Source organism: Homo sapiens, chromosome X (genome assembly GCF_000001405.40).
Source record: "Homo sapiens chromosome X, GRCh38.p14 Primary Assembly".
NCBI lineage: Eukaryota > Metazoa > Chordata > Mammalia > Primates > Hominidae > Homo > Homo sapiens.
Genome location: NC_000023.11, coordinates 154,217,959 through 154,233,449, shown reverse-complemented (window position 1 = coordinate 154,233,449; position 15,491 = coordinate 154,217,959). Strand labels below are relative to the sequence as shown.

The 15,491-nt window shown below is 52.4% G+C and overlaps 1 protein-coding gene across 1 annotated transcript, besides 3 other annotated features; it reads right to left on the bottom strand.

The window, feature by feature from the left end:
- On the bottom strand, positions 164-13,694 carry OPN1MW2 (opsin 1, medium wave sensitive 2). Its single transcript, NM_001048181.3, has 6 exons — positions 13,523-13,694; positions 8,246-8,542; positions 6,090-6,258; positions 4,457-4,622; positions 2,663-2,902; positions 164-380 (listed from the first exon to the last, which is right to left on the bottom strand). Exons 1-6 carry the CDS (start codon positions 13,632-13,634, stop codon positions 270-272), a joined length of 1,095 nt encoding a protein of 364 aa, NP_001041646.1. The 5' UTR covers positions 13,635-13,694; the 3' UTR covers positions 164-269.
- Positions 3,229-3,729: an enhancer, noted in NCBI's record as "H3K4me1 hESC enhancer chrX:153495190-153495690 (GRCh37/hg19 assembly coordinates)". NCBI's record gives its function as "activates a minimal SCP1, AML or CMV promoter by ChIP-STARR-seq in naive H9 embryonic stem cells {active_cell/tissue: H9 hESC(naive)}" and the evidence as "EXISTENCE:reporter gene assay evidence [ECO:0000049][PMID:30033119]".
- Positions 7,807-8,306: an enhancer, noted in NCBI's record as "H3K4me1 hESC enhancer chrX:153490613-153491112 (GRCh37/hg19 assembly coordinates)". NCBI's record gives its function as "activates a minimal SCP1, AML or CMV promoter by ChIP-STARR-seq in primed H9 embryonic stem cells {active_cell/tissue: H9 hESC(primed)}" and the evidence as "EXISTENCE:reporter gene assay evidence [ECO:0000049][PMID:30033119]".
- Positions 8,307-8,808: an enhancer, noted in NCBI's record as "H3K4me1 hESC enhancer chrX:153490111-153490612 (GRCh37/hg19 assembly coordinates)". NCBI's record gives its function as "activates a minimal SCP1, AML or CMV promoter by ChIP-STARR-seq in primed H9 embryonic stem cells {active_cell/tissue: H9 hESC(primed)}" and the evidence as "EXISTENCE:reporter gene assay evidence [ECO:0000049][PMID:30033119]".
- Positions 13,695-15,491: the final 1,797 nt, after the last annotated feature.

Here is a 15,491-nt window from a genome sequence, read left to right as displayed (position 1 = left end):
CCAGGATCCTTTCACGCCATCGGTAGACATGAGGCTCGGGAAAACTTAAAGTCTATGAAGCGCTCTCTCCTCTTTATCCCCCTTGCACCCTCTCGAGACCCAGTGCCTGCACACGCAGAGGCTCAGGTGGTCCCACACTGCAGTGAAAGCCTCTGTGACTTTGTTGGTTTTGGCAAAGATAAATTACATTTATTTTACAGGGATGGAGAAGGAGGGGGAAAGGAGAGGTGGCCAAAGCCCCGGTGGGCGGGATGGGTAGGAGGCAGACCTCATGCAGGCGATACCGAGGACACAGATGAGACCTCCGTTTTGGAGGCGCTGGAGAGTTCAGAGCCATCGTCAACCTTCTTCCCGAAAAGCTGCAAGATGCAGTTTCGAAACTGGAAGGACAGAAAGCGTTATTGAGCAGAGCAGGGAAGGGTGGAGCACTGTGCTGAATGTACGTGCCCGAGCCTTCCCTTCACCCATTCCGAATCCCATGGGGGATGGAGGAAGGCTTGGATTATTTCTCCCTCACACGCGGGGATGTCATCTGACTTAGCAGTTGATGGTGACTACACTGGGTTGAAGTGGGTCCCCCAAAAGATGTGTTCAGGTTAAGATGAGGTCACACTGGAGCAGGGTGGGCCCTAATCGAATGACTGGTGTCCTGATAAGAAAAGGAACGCTTGGACACGGACACGCAGACAGAGGGAAGAAGGCCACGTGAAGATGAAGGCAGAGACTGGGGTGACACACCTTGGAGTCAAGGAACGCCAAAGACTGCCGGCAGCCCTGCAGCTGCTTCTCCCTCCCGGCCTCCATAGGGAACCTTTCCATTTGCCAACACCCTGATTTCAGACTCAAGATTTCCAGAACCCTGAGAGAATCCATTTCTGTGGTTTGAAGCCACTGAGTTTGTGGTAGTTTGTGACGGCAGCCCCATGACACTCATCCACAGTGACAGCTAAGGGGCAGTGGTGACCTGTCCCCAGACTGTCTGGTGAGCGGCTCGGAGGAATATTAATGAAAAGGCATGTGGTTGTCATGTTTTTTCCAGTCCATGGATCTGGGGCAAGGTGAGGCCTAGGTAATGACAATCTAGCCCCTACCTCATCTCTCCAGCCAAGCGTCTTCCGGTACCAGGAGGGGTCTGTCTTTGCTGCTTCACCCCAAAGAGATCTGGGCCATATGAATGTCTCAAATCATGTCCTGTGTCATCCCTGAAGTAACCACAATGCTTTGAGGACCCAGACCAAAGGCATTTTCTAAATATTTCAGGCCTACTCTTGACTAGCTCTAACTCCCTCTATCATCAAAACTCTCAAAAATAAAAAATATAATGGTTGAAATTAATAACATAAGAAACGGGACAAACAGCAGAATCAGCTCGGCTGAAGAGCTGGGAGATAGGGCTGAGGAATCCATTCAGCAGCTGCTGCTTGAGCACCCACTGTGTGCCAGACTCTGTCCTGAGCAAAATTTGCTGTCTTCATGGAACTGCGTTCCAGAAAATTCTCTCAGAATGTGGCAGGACAGGATAATTATGTGGAAAGGGTAAAAGCAAAGTTCGAGGCCTGGTGAGGTCCAGAAGTGCAGACATCTGTCTCCCCCTGTCCAGGGGGAGTTCTGGAAAGGAGAATGGAAATAATCCAGTAAAGACAGTACTTGGCAAGATAGTTTAGGATTCCAGAAACCTAAAAAAGATCCTCATGAAAGTCAGGAAACAGGGGTCAGGGATAGAACTACACTCTGGGCATCAGTGTGCTACAGCGAGTTCCCGGAAATCCACTGCAGGCCTGGTCCTACTTACTATTTAAAAGTTACCAGAGAGAATGAACCCTTAATGAACTCTGCAGACTTGGCTTGTGTGAGTCAAAGCTGAGCCAAAGGGGCTGGAGCCATTGAGTGGCTCTAAGATGGAGAAGCAAGGAAGAGCCCAGTGGAAGGGATGGACTGGGCCTGGTGAAATGGGAGGCCTCTGCACACCTTTCTGGCCACCATCAAGTCACATCACAGCTGCGCTTTAATGAAGCCTGTAACCTGCAGGAGGTGGGGGGATTTAGGTGTGTGAGCAGCTTGCTGCTGAGGCCCAATATGCCAGCTAAGGAGGCTGCCTCTGGGCAGGACCACAGCACGTCCCCCCTGAACTAACCCACAAACTCGTGAAAGCTCTTGAACTCTTGGTCAGTGTAGCCAAGGAGGGCCGGCTTTTGTTCTTATAGGAAGACAAATTCCAGAGGTTACGGTTTGAAAATGGAGAGATGAAGGTTGAGAAGGGTCGAGTCTGAACAGAAGAGGGGCACACCTAGGGTGGATGTACCTAGGGCTCACCAACTCCTAGAGCGTCTGAACGCCAGGAGAGCCCCTGAAGCTCGGCAGCCATAGTTCTAGGGCCACCGGAAGGGAAGAGCGCACGGCACACAGACGCTTTGGGAAATGCCACCCTCAGGCCGAGACTATAAAGGATTCCAGAGGGCACACCTAAGCCTTCTGCTAAGGGCCAGCCGGAGCTCTGGCTGGGGCTGGGTCACACGCTGAGCCTTTCCCGGTCATTTCCCTGGAGGGTCCCCCAGATGCTCCGCGGGCTTCTTATCAGAGACATGATTCCAGGTGGGGCCATCGCTGCACCCTTCTAGGGCACACGGTATTTTGAGTGGGATCTGCTGATGGTGTTGCTTACCTGCCGGTTCATAAAGACATAGATAACGGGGTTGTAGATAGTGGCACTTTTGGCAAAGAAGGCCGGCAGGGCAGCCATCAAAGGGTGGAAGGGGTAGCCAGGGTTGGCAGCAGCAAAGCATGCGAAGAAGGCGTAGGGTCCCCAGCAGAAGCAGAATGCCAGGACCATCACCACCACCATGCGCGTCACTTCCTTCTCTGCCTTCTGGGTGGATTCAGACTCTTTCTGCTGCTTTGCCACCTAAGGGAGACAGGGATAGTGAGTCGGGGGTTGGAGGGCAGCAAGAGGCAGGTGACCCAGGCATAGGGAGTTGTGGGGAGGAGGAGAGGAGCCCAGCAGCCATCTTCCAGCCCTGAGTGGAGCACAGCCGGCCCCAGGCAGACATGGCTGCCTCAGGCTGGCCCTGGGGGAGTTCTAGAATTGGAGGTGGCATGCAGCTAGGTGTGGCCTAAGATGACCCCAGAGCTGGATCTAACAAGCTCCTTTGCTTCACCTGATCCCTTAACAGACTGTCCTGTCCTGCGCTCAGGCCTGAGCATGGAGGCCTGATTTGATTGATGACTGGGCGTGGAGAATGAAGGAGTTAACAAGGTGGAGATGGCGGGGGAGGCAAAAGCAGTGGCTGGCGGGGTGCGCGATGGGAGTGTCAGAGCAATGCATACACTTCCCTCAGGCTTCCTAGGCTAGGTTGGCCACTCTGTGGACTAAATCCTGCCCTGGACTCACGGTGAGGCAGCTGAGGGCAGCTTTGGTGGGGTGGCTCCTTCATGCCTGCTGGGAGGAAGGAGACGAATGGCCTCCAGGCAGAGGCACTGTGGGGGAGGCCAGAGGCCAGCCACCACCTGCCAGGGATGAGGGACTGGCGGCAGGCAGATGAGTGGGGATGAGAGAGGGAGTGTGAGGGCTGGAATGCAGGGATGGCTGAGACAGCAGAGCCGGGGCCACATTGTGGAGCTGGGGCTCTACCATCCCAGACTAATACAGCCGAAGCCATGGTTGGGTACCTGTGGGAGCCTTCACCCCAAGGTGACGGGGTGAGGGGGCCTTTCACAGGCTCACAGACTCCTCTAGAGAGAGCTTGGCAGGCATGCCCATCCAATTGTGGGCACAGGCAGCTTCATATAGGAAAGCCAGCACCCTGAAAGGGCTCCCACTGCTAACAGAAAAGAACCAGCCTGGCTCTCCTCCCTTGCTCTGACTTCCTGAAGGGCTCCCAGTGGTAGCCTAGTCTAGGGGTGGGGGGTGACGGCTGTGGACAGGATCAGCTTCCCAGGGCAGAGGGCCAGACATGGAGGTGGAGAGTGGGTCAGGGGGGCAAATGGCACTCTCGGGTCCACTCCTTGGTCGGCCCCACAGCCTATGAAAAGGACAAGGGTACTCCGGTGGCAGCCTCATAAAAACACGCCTTGATTTGCAGGTGTCATTTGCTGATGTGGCTGCTCCACTCTACTCTGTGGGAAAGGCAGCCTTTCCACCCCGGGGAGAACTGTCCAGGGTCGGGGCAAGGCACACCTCTGTTCCCTTAGTGGACTCCTCCAGGGAGGGAGTGGCAGTGCTTTCCCGTCTCACAGAGCTGAGGACAACGGGGCTGGGGCTGAACCTGCAGCCACTGGTACAGTCCCAAAGGAATCACCTGATTCTCATCGCTGGATCTTAATATTTTCTTATAGGGGTAAAATCCTCTTCTCTAAGGATTTTTGGAAAAATAGTTTAGGAGTCTCAGTGGACTCATTTGAGGGCAGAGCAGCTTAGGGGCAGGAGGCGGGTGAGGCCAGGAGGAATCGGGGGGCTTACCGCTCGGATGGCCAGCCACACTTGGAGGTAGCAGAGCACGATGATGCTGAGTGGGGTGATGCAGCAGGTGACCATGAGGACAATCATGTAAGACTGCACCCCGGGGTACGAGCTGCCGCTGAACACGTCTGGGCCGCATGAAGTCTTCAGGCCGTGGGGCCAGTACCTGGAGAGAAGGGCCGGCAGCCAGTCCTGATGCAGGGTGGGGTGACCCAGGACCCCCGGCCCAGGCACGGTGCTAACTCGGGTGGGGTTTGTTTTTTTAAATTGAGGTGAAATTCATGTTGCATGAGATTACCCAATTTGAAGTGATCAATTCTGTGGCAGTCACCACCTCTGCTTCCAGAACATTTTCATCAACCCAAAACAAAACCGTTGGGTAGGATTTTGGTTAATCCTTGTCCATTTTTAGATGTCATGCCTTTCTTCTTTTTGAATTGTGGTAAAATACACATCACATAAAATGTACCATTATAGGCCAGGCACAATGGCTCACGCCTATAGTCCCAGCACATTTGGAGGCAGAGGTAGGAGGATTGCTCGAGCCCAGGAGTTCAAGACTAGCCTGGATCACATAGTGAGATCTTGTCTCTACAAAAAATAAAAAAAATTAGCTGGGTGAAGTGGTGCACCTGTAGGCCCAGCTCCTCAGGAGGCTGAGGTAGGAGGATCACTTGAGCCCAGGAGGTGGAGGCTGCAGTGAGCCATAATTACACCACTGCACTGTGCCAGCCTGAGTGACAGAGTGAGACCCTGTCTCAAAAAAAGAAAAAAGTACCATTGTGACCTTTGGTACATTCACAATGCTGTGCAACCATCTCCACTATCTGCTTCCAGGACATTTTCATCTTCCCAATCACTCCCCTTCTTTACAAAGGGATTGTGAGGTTCCTTCTTGCCCTGACCTTCTGAGAACACCCATGAAGAGCTGAGTCTTTTATCTGAGGTCAGCTAGGCCATGACTGAAATAAAGGGCCCTGCTCACTTAGTGGCCTGGAGGATTAAATGAGATAACCCGCGGGAGAGCCTCCACCAGGGTCAGCTCACCACACATGTTTGATAACGGGCAGCTGTGTGGGGCATGGCGGCATGAGGAGGGCGGGAGACAGAGACAGGCTTCCACAAGGTTTGTTTCCTAGAATTGTGGAACGTTCTCGAGGAAAGAACATTCCCTCTCCAAACACCACGAGAACTTATTCACGAGCTTGTCGATAAAACAGTGAAATGCTGTCCCACCCAGTCCACTCCAATCAAACATTTGAGCCACTTGCTTGGCCTGGCCAGGACATGTGCTCTGTAGGCCCAGGTGGATCTATGACCCAAGCAGCCTCTGAAAGGTGGGGGGCGTGGTGCGGCAGCGTGTGCAAGAAAGAGACCTGGAATGCAAACACGCTATGCGTTCACTGACAGCTGTGCTGATGGCCTGAGCTCCGTGTGCGCCTGTGACCTGATCGTGCTTGGGATAAATATGTTTCCAGAGGTTCGGGGACCACAGAGCCTTTCCTATGTTGCAGCCACATTCATACATTGATAGACATTGCACGCTCAGAGGGGCCCAGAGAAAGGAAGTGATTTGCCTTAAGGTCACAGAGTCTGACCCTGCCCACTCCATCTTGCGTCCTCGCACCCTTACCTGCTCCAACCAAAGATGGGCGGGGCTGTCCACACAGCAGCCCAGATCCAGGAGAAGGCAATGCCCACGATGGCCAGCTTGGCATCAAATCTCACATTGCCAAAGGGCTTGCAGACCACCATCCATCTCTCCCAGGAAATGATGGCCAGAGACCAGAGACCTGTGATCCCTATGGGGAGAGCAGACAGATGAGGGCTTTGAGCCAAAGCAAAGGTGGGAAGCAAAGCTTCCCACTGTCCTGCTTAGACCCCAAACGTCTGCACACAGAATTCAGGGCTCCACGGACTGAGGTGGAAAAAACGACATCTTTCTTTCCACCAACCTCGAACAGACACTGGAAATTTCCTTCCATTATGAACGTGGCAGTATTAGCAGTACCCGTGACTCGGTCAGCAAGAGAGGTCACAGATGTTTTCCTGTCAATTCATAGAGGTGGCAGAGAGTTCGAATACCACTTATGTTCATCACTACTCTGAAATAACAGTGGTTGTCAGGCGGGATCCTGTTACTTAATACCTTAATACTGAGTGGTGTCACTAATACGTTTAACACATGCTTTTATTTTTATTTACTTTTTGAGACAGAATCTCACTCTGTTGCCCAGGCTGAGTGCAGTGGTGCCATCATAGCTCACTGCAGCCTTGACCTCCAGAGCTCAAGCGATCCTCCCGCCTGAGCCTCCTGAGTAGCTGGGACTACTGGTGTGCCACCACGCCCAGCTGTTTTTATTTGTTGTAGAGAAGAGGTCTCACTATGTTGCCCAGGCTGGTCTCAAACTCTTGGAGGCAAGCAGTCCTCCCACCTCAGCCTCCCAAAGTGCTGGGATTACAGGTATGAGCCTGGCCAGTAAATGCTTTTAACTAAAGACTATGTTACTGATGAATGTTTAATACTTTGATAACTGTATTTCAGTATAATTTGCTGCCTTTGTAATCCTATGGGTCTCATTTTATGCGTTTGCAAAAATTCTCCTGAGATGGGGTCCACAGGCTTCCCAGATGGCCAAGGGCATCCGTGGACCAAAAGTGGTGGGGAAGTGCTGGCTGCTTGGCACCTGACTGACCCAAGAACAGACCATGAGCAGAGGCAAGGGTGAGCGGGAGACCATGGCAGAAACGGAGACAGACGTGGGCGGAGATGCAGGGGGGCACTCGGGAAGGGTCGTGTGACCACCGAGGCCATGCCTGCTGCAGAGAGCACTCGGACCTGGGGATGGACCTTCTCTGCCTGACCTTCCCTTGGCTCCCCTTCTACACTATCGGGGTAGTGCCGGGACTTGGACAAGCACCCTCTCTGGTCTGGGCCATCGTGGGTACAATTTGAGGCAGTTAACGGGGTGGGGTTGGGGAGGCTGCTAAGAGTGGTGGGGAGGCAAGAGCAGGAGCTGCTGCTGCTGGATGTGGGGTCTCCTCCTCCTGAAAGAAAGTCCCAGCTCCTGGGCATGACGTCTGAGGCCTCTGAGACCTGGGCCTGCCCACCTCGTGTCCAGCAGCCACGGCTGCTTGGTGGTACTCTATCCACTCGAACCACAAACTGCTCCCAGCCGCTCCTCCACCACCTGCCCCAGGCCCCTTCTTGTCTGAGAGGACTGATGATGGTACTGTGTGGTTGCCGTCTGGCTATAGGGCCCCCTCCTTAGCACAGAGCCTGGCACGCTAGTACCTCTCGGCCACTGTCTCCTGACCTGAGCGGAATAGTGGCCCACAGAGATATTAGTGATGGGGATGGGGAGAGGATCTGGGAATTGTGTCTCCTCCGGGAAAAGCAGATGCTGGCGAGCTGAAAGAGCAGGCATCCCTAATTGCAGGGGAGTTCTGTCCAGGGTGCCCAGAGTCCCCGCCCCCCTACTGTTCTGGGGTTGTCTAGCTCTGTATCTGTCTCCTCCCACACCAGCCCCACAGCTCCAAACTGGCTGTCCCCGGGCAGAGCCTGACTCAAGAGTAGGAACTCAGGGTATGTTTGACTCAAGGGAGCTGAATTTAATGTGAGTGTTCAGATGGAAGCCTCCAGAACCCTTCAGTATATGGATGTGAGGCGCAGATGTGGAGGGAGACAGGCCTACAGGAGCAGCTGGGCCCCGATCATCATGAGGTGGCCGGAGGGGCTTGCAGGGTGAATGAGTGGTTTCCGCTGAGCCTGGGCCCCGACTGGCTTACCACACAGGGAGACGGTGTAGCCCTCCAGGACACACATAGGGTGGCCCAGCACGAAGTAGCCATAGACCTGGTTCACAACGCTGATAGTGCTGGCGATGACGGTCTCTGCCAGGTCAGCGACCGCCAGGTTCACCAGGATCCAGTTCAGCGGGTGGCGCAGCTTCTTGAACTTCATGGTGGCCGCCAGCACAAGCCCATTTGTGAAGACGGATGCAATGACCACAAAGATCATCCAGACACTGGTGAGGTGGTACACCCATCTGGGAGCGATGTGGTAATTCGGGCCTTCGAAGGGGCCTGAGGGCAGGAGGCAGAGGAGAGAGAGGAGCTGGGCTGCAGCACCGCCTGTCTATACCAGTGCTGATCCCACCTCTCCCCTCCCCCTTCCGCCCTCCTGCCTTTGCAATTGGCTGTTTCCCTCCAGCTTTGTCCATCCTCAGACAGTCTCCCCTCCATCCTGTCCCTCAAGCCAGAGACCATCGCCCGCTGGTCACTGGCACTGGCATCTTGAACTTAACAGAACTCCTCATCGTCTCCTCCATCTGATTCCCCACTCCCAGTGTGCAGTCACCCCACTTCCCTGCTCCCCTCTTCCCTTTGCCCCAGCCCCACCTCCTACCTCCCACAGTCCTCTGCCCTTCCATAGAGAAACGCTTGCCTCCTGTAAAGCCCAGCTCATATGCATTTGCCTTCCAGAAGATTCCCCAGCTAGTGGCAACTCACCCCCTTGAGGGGAAGACCACTACCCACCTCTGTCACCTTCTGTCACACATAGGAGTTACTGTTCATGATGATCTGAATGTACGTGCCCCCCATAAATTTCTGTGTTGAAATCCCAACCCCCAAGGTGATGGTATTAGGAGGTGGGGCCTTTGGCAGGTCATTTAGGTCATGTGTGCAGAGTGAGTGGGGCCCTCATGAATGGGATTAGTGCCCTTATAAAAGAGGTCCTAGAAGCTGGGCATGGTGGCTCACGCCTGTAGCCCCAGCTACTCAGGAGGCCAACGTGGGAGGATCACTTGAGCCTTTGGGAACAGCCCAAATTAGCTGGGAATGGTGGCTCATGCCTGTAATCCCAGCACTTTGGGAGGCTGAGGCTGGAGGGTTGCTTGAGCCCAGGAGTTCAAATCCAACCTGGGCAACATGGCATGCCCATGTAAAAAAAATTTTTTTTTAATTAAAACAAACAAGAAAAAGAGTCCCTAGAGTGCTCTCTAGCTCTCTTTCTTCCATGTGAGGATACAATGAGTTGTTGGCAATCTGCAGTCAGGAAGAGGGTCCTCGCCAGAGCCCACCACGCTAGCACCCTGACTTCCAGCCTCCAGAGCTGTGAGAAATACATTTATCATTTAAAAGCCACCCAATCTATGGTAATTTCTCTTTTATTCTTTTCCTTTCTTTCTTTTCTTTTTTTTTTTTTTTTGGGACAAAGTCTTGCTCTGTCACCCAGGCTGGAGTATAGTGGCACAATCATAGCTCACTGCAACGTGGAACTCCTGGGCTCAAGCGATCCTCCTGGGCTCAAGCGATCCTCCTGCCTCAGCCTCTCGAGTACCTGGGACTACAAGCCGTGCATTACCACAATGGCAATTTTTTTTATTTCTGTAGAGATGGGGTCTGGCTATGTTGCCTAGGCTGGTCTCGAACTCCTGACTTCAAGTGATCCTCCCACCTTGGCCTCCCAAGTAGCTGGGACTACAAACGAATTATTTCTCCTTTTTCTTCTGTAGGAGTTTGCTAGGGCTCTACACCTTTTGTGTTGGAAGGACCTTCGTCATAACATTGTTTTTGGCAGATTACTTGAAGGGATTGCAAGCCACAGACCTGCTGCCATATAAGGCCTCATGGAGAGTCCCAAGGTTTATCAAGAGATTCTTTAGCTGTGTGTTAGAAAAGCCCAACTCAAGCTAGCTTAAGAAAAATGGGGATTTCCTGGCTATGGCCAGGAGAGACAGATAAATCTCACCCCTAGCACAGCTGGATCCCACAAGGCCTCTGCTGCCCTCTGTGCACGGGCCCCATATGTTCCTAACACAAGGAGCTTCTGGAAACCCACAGACAATGTCTGCAATCCCGATACCTGGCACTGGCTCCCCAGGAACCCCCAGTATGAGCAGCAGGGACAGACCATTGACAATTGAAGACCTGCATGGCGTCAGTCTCCGTGCAGAAGGAAGCAGAGGGGAGCAATGGGGTTGCTGATGGACCTAAGAACAGAGAACCCCCAAACTGTCGGCAGCTCTTCCCTGGGAAGTACCTTGGGTGAACTGGGGAAGAGCAGCTGAGACTGGGAGGGTTTGGGACACTCTGGCCTGCAGGCAAGTGCAAGGGGCTGGAGCAATCTAGGTGCTACGACCTCTGAAAACAAGGCAGCCAGTGCCCTTCCCTGGCAACCCTTGCGGTCCAAATTGGGCAGTGCAGGGACAAGGGGGCAAAGGAGAGAACAGGTCCCAGCAGCAGTGGGGGAGGGGACAGGAGCTGCCACCAGTGTAACTAGAGCTGGTGTCATGGCCTACCCCTCCCTCCTGAAAGTTCTGGAACTGAATTTCATGAAGCAATGAGCAAGAGAATCAAAGTCAGCTCCCAGGCAAAGTGATTCGAGGAAATACAGGCAGGTAGGGAAGGGGCGGTCGGTGGTGGCGCAGAGAAGCCAGACTTCTTCAAATACACCTTCTTTTCTAGATTTTAATTTGAGACTTTTAACTGTTTTATTACATAATTATAAAACAAAATTTAAGTGGCCGGGGGCGGTGGCTCACACCTGTAATCCCAGCACTTTGGGAAGCCGAGGTGGGCGGACGACTTGAGGTCAGCAGTTGGAGACCAGCCTGGCCAACATGGTGAAACCCTGTCTCTACTAAAAATAAAAAAAATTAGCTGGGCGTGGTGGCGGGCACCTGTAGTCCCAGCTCCTCGGGAGGCTGAGGCAGGAGAATCGCTCGAACCGAGGAGGCGGAAGTTGCAGTGAGCTGAGATCGCGCCACTGCACTCCAGCCTGGGCGACAGAGTAAGACTGTCTCGAAAAAATAAAATAAAGTAAAATAAAAGTTTAAATTTACAGAGCAATCTCTGAAAATCAGCAACAAAAGAAATGAAGCTAAATGCATATCCACTGAGTGGCATATCACTTAGAGAGGGACTATTCTAAGGGACTGGAAACACACCGGTTTACTACACAACCTAGTGGCATATACCCTCAGGGTAAGAAGACCTGTGAAGATGTTAAGGTTTTGGTCACCAATAGGTGAAGGCAGGGTAAGGTGTCCGAATGCCGTCATTTTCCATCCCCAGTGGTTTAATTGGTCTGGGCATTGAGTTTCAGTAGCTGCCAACACCCCAGAAAAGAGACACTCTCCTTGCCAAAACACACCAACAAATCCAACCTGCCTCTGGCCAGATCCTCAGATCAACTACCAATTTACAGAAAAATCATAATGAACAACGTCAGAGGGGCCTGTTAGGCTACGTCATGAACGACTTGCTTGCTTCCACAAATAAATTGCAGGGAGATAGAAAGGGAACCTCTAGATTCAAAGGTAGTCAAAAGGCATATCAGTCAATCTGAATGTGTGGACCTTATTTGAGCCCTGATTCAAGCAGACTGAAAATACGTATGACATTTTTTGAACACTACTAGGATATTTGAAGCTATTCAGGAAATATTGTTACACTTGTCGGTGTGATGATGACTTGTGGTTATGTATTGAGAAGAGCCCTTTTCTCCTAGAGGAACATAGTAAAGATTTACAGAGGGAAGGGTGTGATGTCTTGGATTTGCTTCCAAGAATCAGGAAGAAAGGGTAGTGGAGGGGTCACAGATGAAATGAGATGAAACCGTGGAAGCTGAGTGATGGGTACCGGAGTTCATTACACTCCTCCCTCTACTTTAGTAGATGCTTGAAGTTTTGTGGAAAAAAAAAAAAACCCACCCCGACATTTGAAAAGAGTGCACTGAAGCATCATGCATTGATGAAGTCTGGGGGCATCTAGGAAGAGACTGTTGACATTGCCACCAAGGAAATTCTGGGCACAGTCATGTTGAGGTCAACTGCAAGATCCTCATCCGGTTTGGTCTGGGCACTCTGTCACTAATTGGCACTCGGTCCTGGCCACCCCACAGCGGGATGTTTATTGGCAATCAAGGAGCTGGCGTGGCTTCTGGAAACCACAGCCTGCACGATGTTGTTGTTTTTTGTTTTGTTTTGTTTTGAGACAAGAGTCTCACTCTGTGGCCAGGCTGGAGCATAGTGGCGTGATCTCGGCTCACTGCAACCTCCACCTCCCGGGTTCAAGCGATTCTCCTGCCTCAGCCTCCTGAGTAGCTGGGACTACAGGCATGCGCCACCAAGCCCAGCTAATTTTTGCATTTTTAGTAGACATGAGGTTTCAGTATGTTGGCCAGGATGATCTCTATCTGTTGACCTCGTCATCTGCCCGCCTCTGCCTCCCAAAGTGCTGGGATTACAGGCGTGAGCCACTGTGCCCGGCCTGCACGATGTTCTTGAAGGCACCAAAGGAATTTGGTTTGGAGGAGGGACCTGGGGAGAGGGCCAGGAGTGGGGCGGTCACTGGTGTCCTCAGCTTCTTTGAGGGCCTGCGTGCAAAACTTTCGGATTGGGCAACTCCCAATGGCAGGACTCGGGCTGCCCTGATGAGAGCTTTCAGCTTTCTGTTGGGCCTGAGCCCTCTCTCCCAGGACGGCTCCGAATGGAAAGATGGCCCTGGGCGCCAATGCAGCCTCTTCCCCCAGAGGTGTGCAGCCAAAAGCCAAGTGGCCCCATCATGGAGTTTGACAAAATGACTGCTACAGGCTTTGCCGACCCTGAAGTTCTAGAAGTTTCTTGCCCTCTGCTGCTGTCTTCCCCACCCTCCCGCCTCCCTTGGGTGTGTCAGTATGTTGCCTCCTTTCGGCTTCAAATGTAAAGACAGACCCAGCTCTTCCCCAGGAAGCTGAGGGACTCCGTGGAATGAGAGGTCATTCGCTAGCAGTGAACACACTCATCTACGGGCCACAAAGAAAGAGCACATAAACTCTTCCCCGGCCTCGGATTCTCAAAGGGGCTGGGAAGCCTGTGTGGCTTGAGAATGCATATTCGATATTATGGTGTCCTTCTAGATTTGGAGAGGACCCCCCAATTCATGTCATCAGAAAAGCTATGGGAGAAAGCCTTCTCTGCTGGTGGGGACGTGCAGAAGAGAGATTCCCTTGGGCGGGGCAGGTGGGTGGCCGGTGGCCCCCAGTGCAGCCACCCAGCCTCCACGGGCCTGCTGGCTCACCTCTGGTGGAGTTGCTGTTGGTGTAGGTGAAGATGCTGGACTGGGTGCTGTCCTCATAGCTGTCCTGCGGATGGCGGCCTGCGAGCCTTTGGAGGCTCCACTGCTGGGCCATGGCTATGGAAAGCCCTGTCCCCGACGGCAGCCGGCCCTGGTGCGTCACCTGAGGGTCACGGTGCTTTATACCGGCCAGTGGGATCAGCCCGGGCCTCTTCACCTTAAAAGCTCCCAAATCCTACACCATCTGATCTCTTAATTGGGCCTGGGACTTAGACCTCCTCCTCCCACCCCTTGCTTCCTTGCTCCTGAGGCGAGCCCCCGGGGGCGGCTCAGAGGGATTTGCTGGAAACCTGTAATCCCAGCTACTGGGAGGTCGAGGCAGGAGAATCGCTTGAATCTGGGAGGCGGAGGTTGCAGTGAGCTGAGATGGCGCCACTGAACTCTAGCCTGGGCAACAGACCAAGACTCTGTCTAAAAAAAAGTGGCTGGGCACAGTGGCACACGCCTGTAATCCCAGCACTTTGGGAGGCCAAGGCGGGTAGATCTCCTGAGGTCAGGAGTTCCCGACCAGCCTGACTAACATGGTGAAACCCCGTTTCTACTAAATAAAAAACAATTAGCTGGGCTTAGTGGCAAATACCTGTACTCCCAGCTACTTGGGAGGCTGAGACAGGAGAATCGCTTGTACCTGGGAGGTCGAGGTTGCGGTGAGCCAAGATCGAGCCATTGCACTCCAGCCTGGGCAACAAGAGCAAAACTCTGTCTCAAGAAAAAAAATTTAACAGGCCACCTAATTGCGATTAAAAAAAAACAAAACCCTGAATCTGTTTAGATTCCCACTTGCAGGGTATGTGACATCACCTTCTGCCACATTCTCGCCAGCCCTGGACATTGTTAGGCTTTTTAATTTTTGGCGTTCTGGTGGATGAGAAAATAGTATTTAATTGTTGCTTTTCGCTTACTATTCCCGGATCACCTTGCAATTACATGTTTTATTATACGTTACTGTCTTTTGTTTTTAGTCGTCTGAGATGTCCGTGGCTACCCTTTAATGTCTTTATATTGGGTTATTTGCTCTTAGTTTACTGATTTGCAGTTCTTTATATATTGTGTTGATTAGCCCTTTATCTATCAGATATGTTTCAAGCCTTTTTTTTTCTTGTTTGCTTTTATTTATTTATTTTTTGAGATGGGGTCTCAGTCTGCCACCCTGGCTGGAGGGCAGTGGTGCGATCACGGCAGCCTCGACATCCCCGGGATCAAGCGATCCTCCCGTCTCAGCGTCCTGGGTAGCTGGGACTACAGGTGTGCACCACCACTCCAGGATAATTGTTGTATTAATTTTTTTTTAATAGAGACGGGGTTTCGCCATGTTGCCCAGGCTGGTCTTGACCTCCTGGGCTCAAGAGATCCACCCACCTTGGCTTCCAAAGTGCTGGGATTACAGGCATGAGCCAGCACACCCAGCCCTTGTTTTTTTTTTTTTCTCCCCCTTTCTTTCTTTCTTTTTTGTTTTTGTTTTGATTAATCAAGTCCCATTTTTTTCTCCTCTTGGTTATTTGGATGTTATGTACATATGTAGCTTCTTTTCTAGTGATTACTTTTTTTTTTTTTTTTGAGACAATCTCACTCTTGTCAGTCAGGCTGGAGTGCAGTGGCGCAGTCTCGGCTCACTGCAACCTCCGTCTCCCCGGCTCAAGCAATTCTCCTGCCTCAGCCTCCCCAGTAGCTGGGATTACAGGTGTGTGCCACCATGCCCGGCTAATTTTTGTATTTTTAGTAGGGACAGTGTTTCGCAGTGTTGACCATGATGGTCTCAAACTCCTGACCTCAAGTGATCCACCCGCCTTGGCTTCCCAAAGTGCTGGGATTACAGCTGTGAGCCACCACGCCCGGCCCCCCCACCCCCCGCTCTTTTTTTTTTGAGACAAGGTCTCACTCTGTCACCCAGGTTGGAGGGCAGTAGCACAGT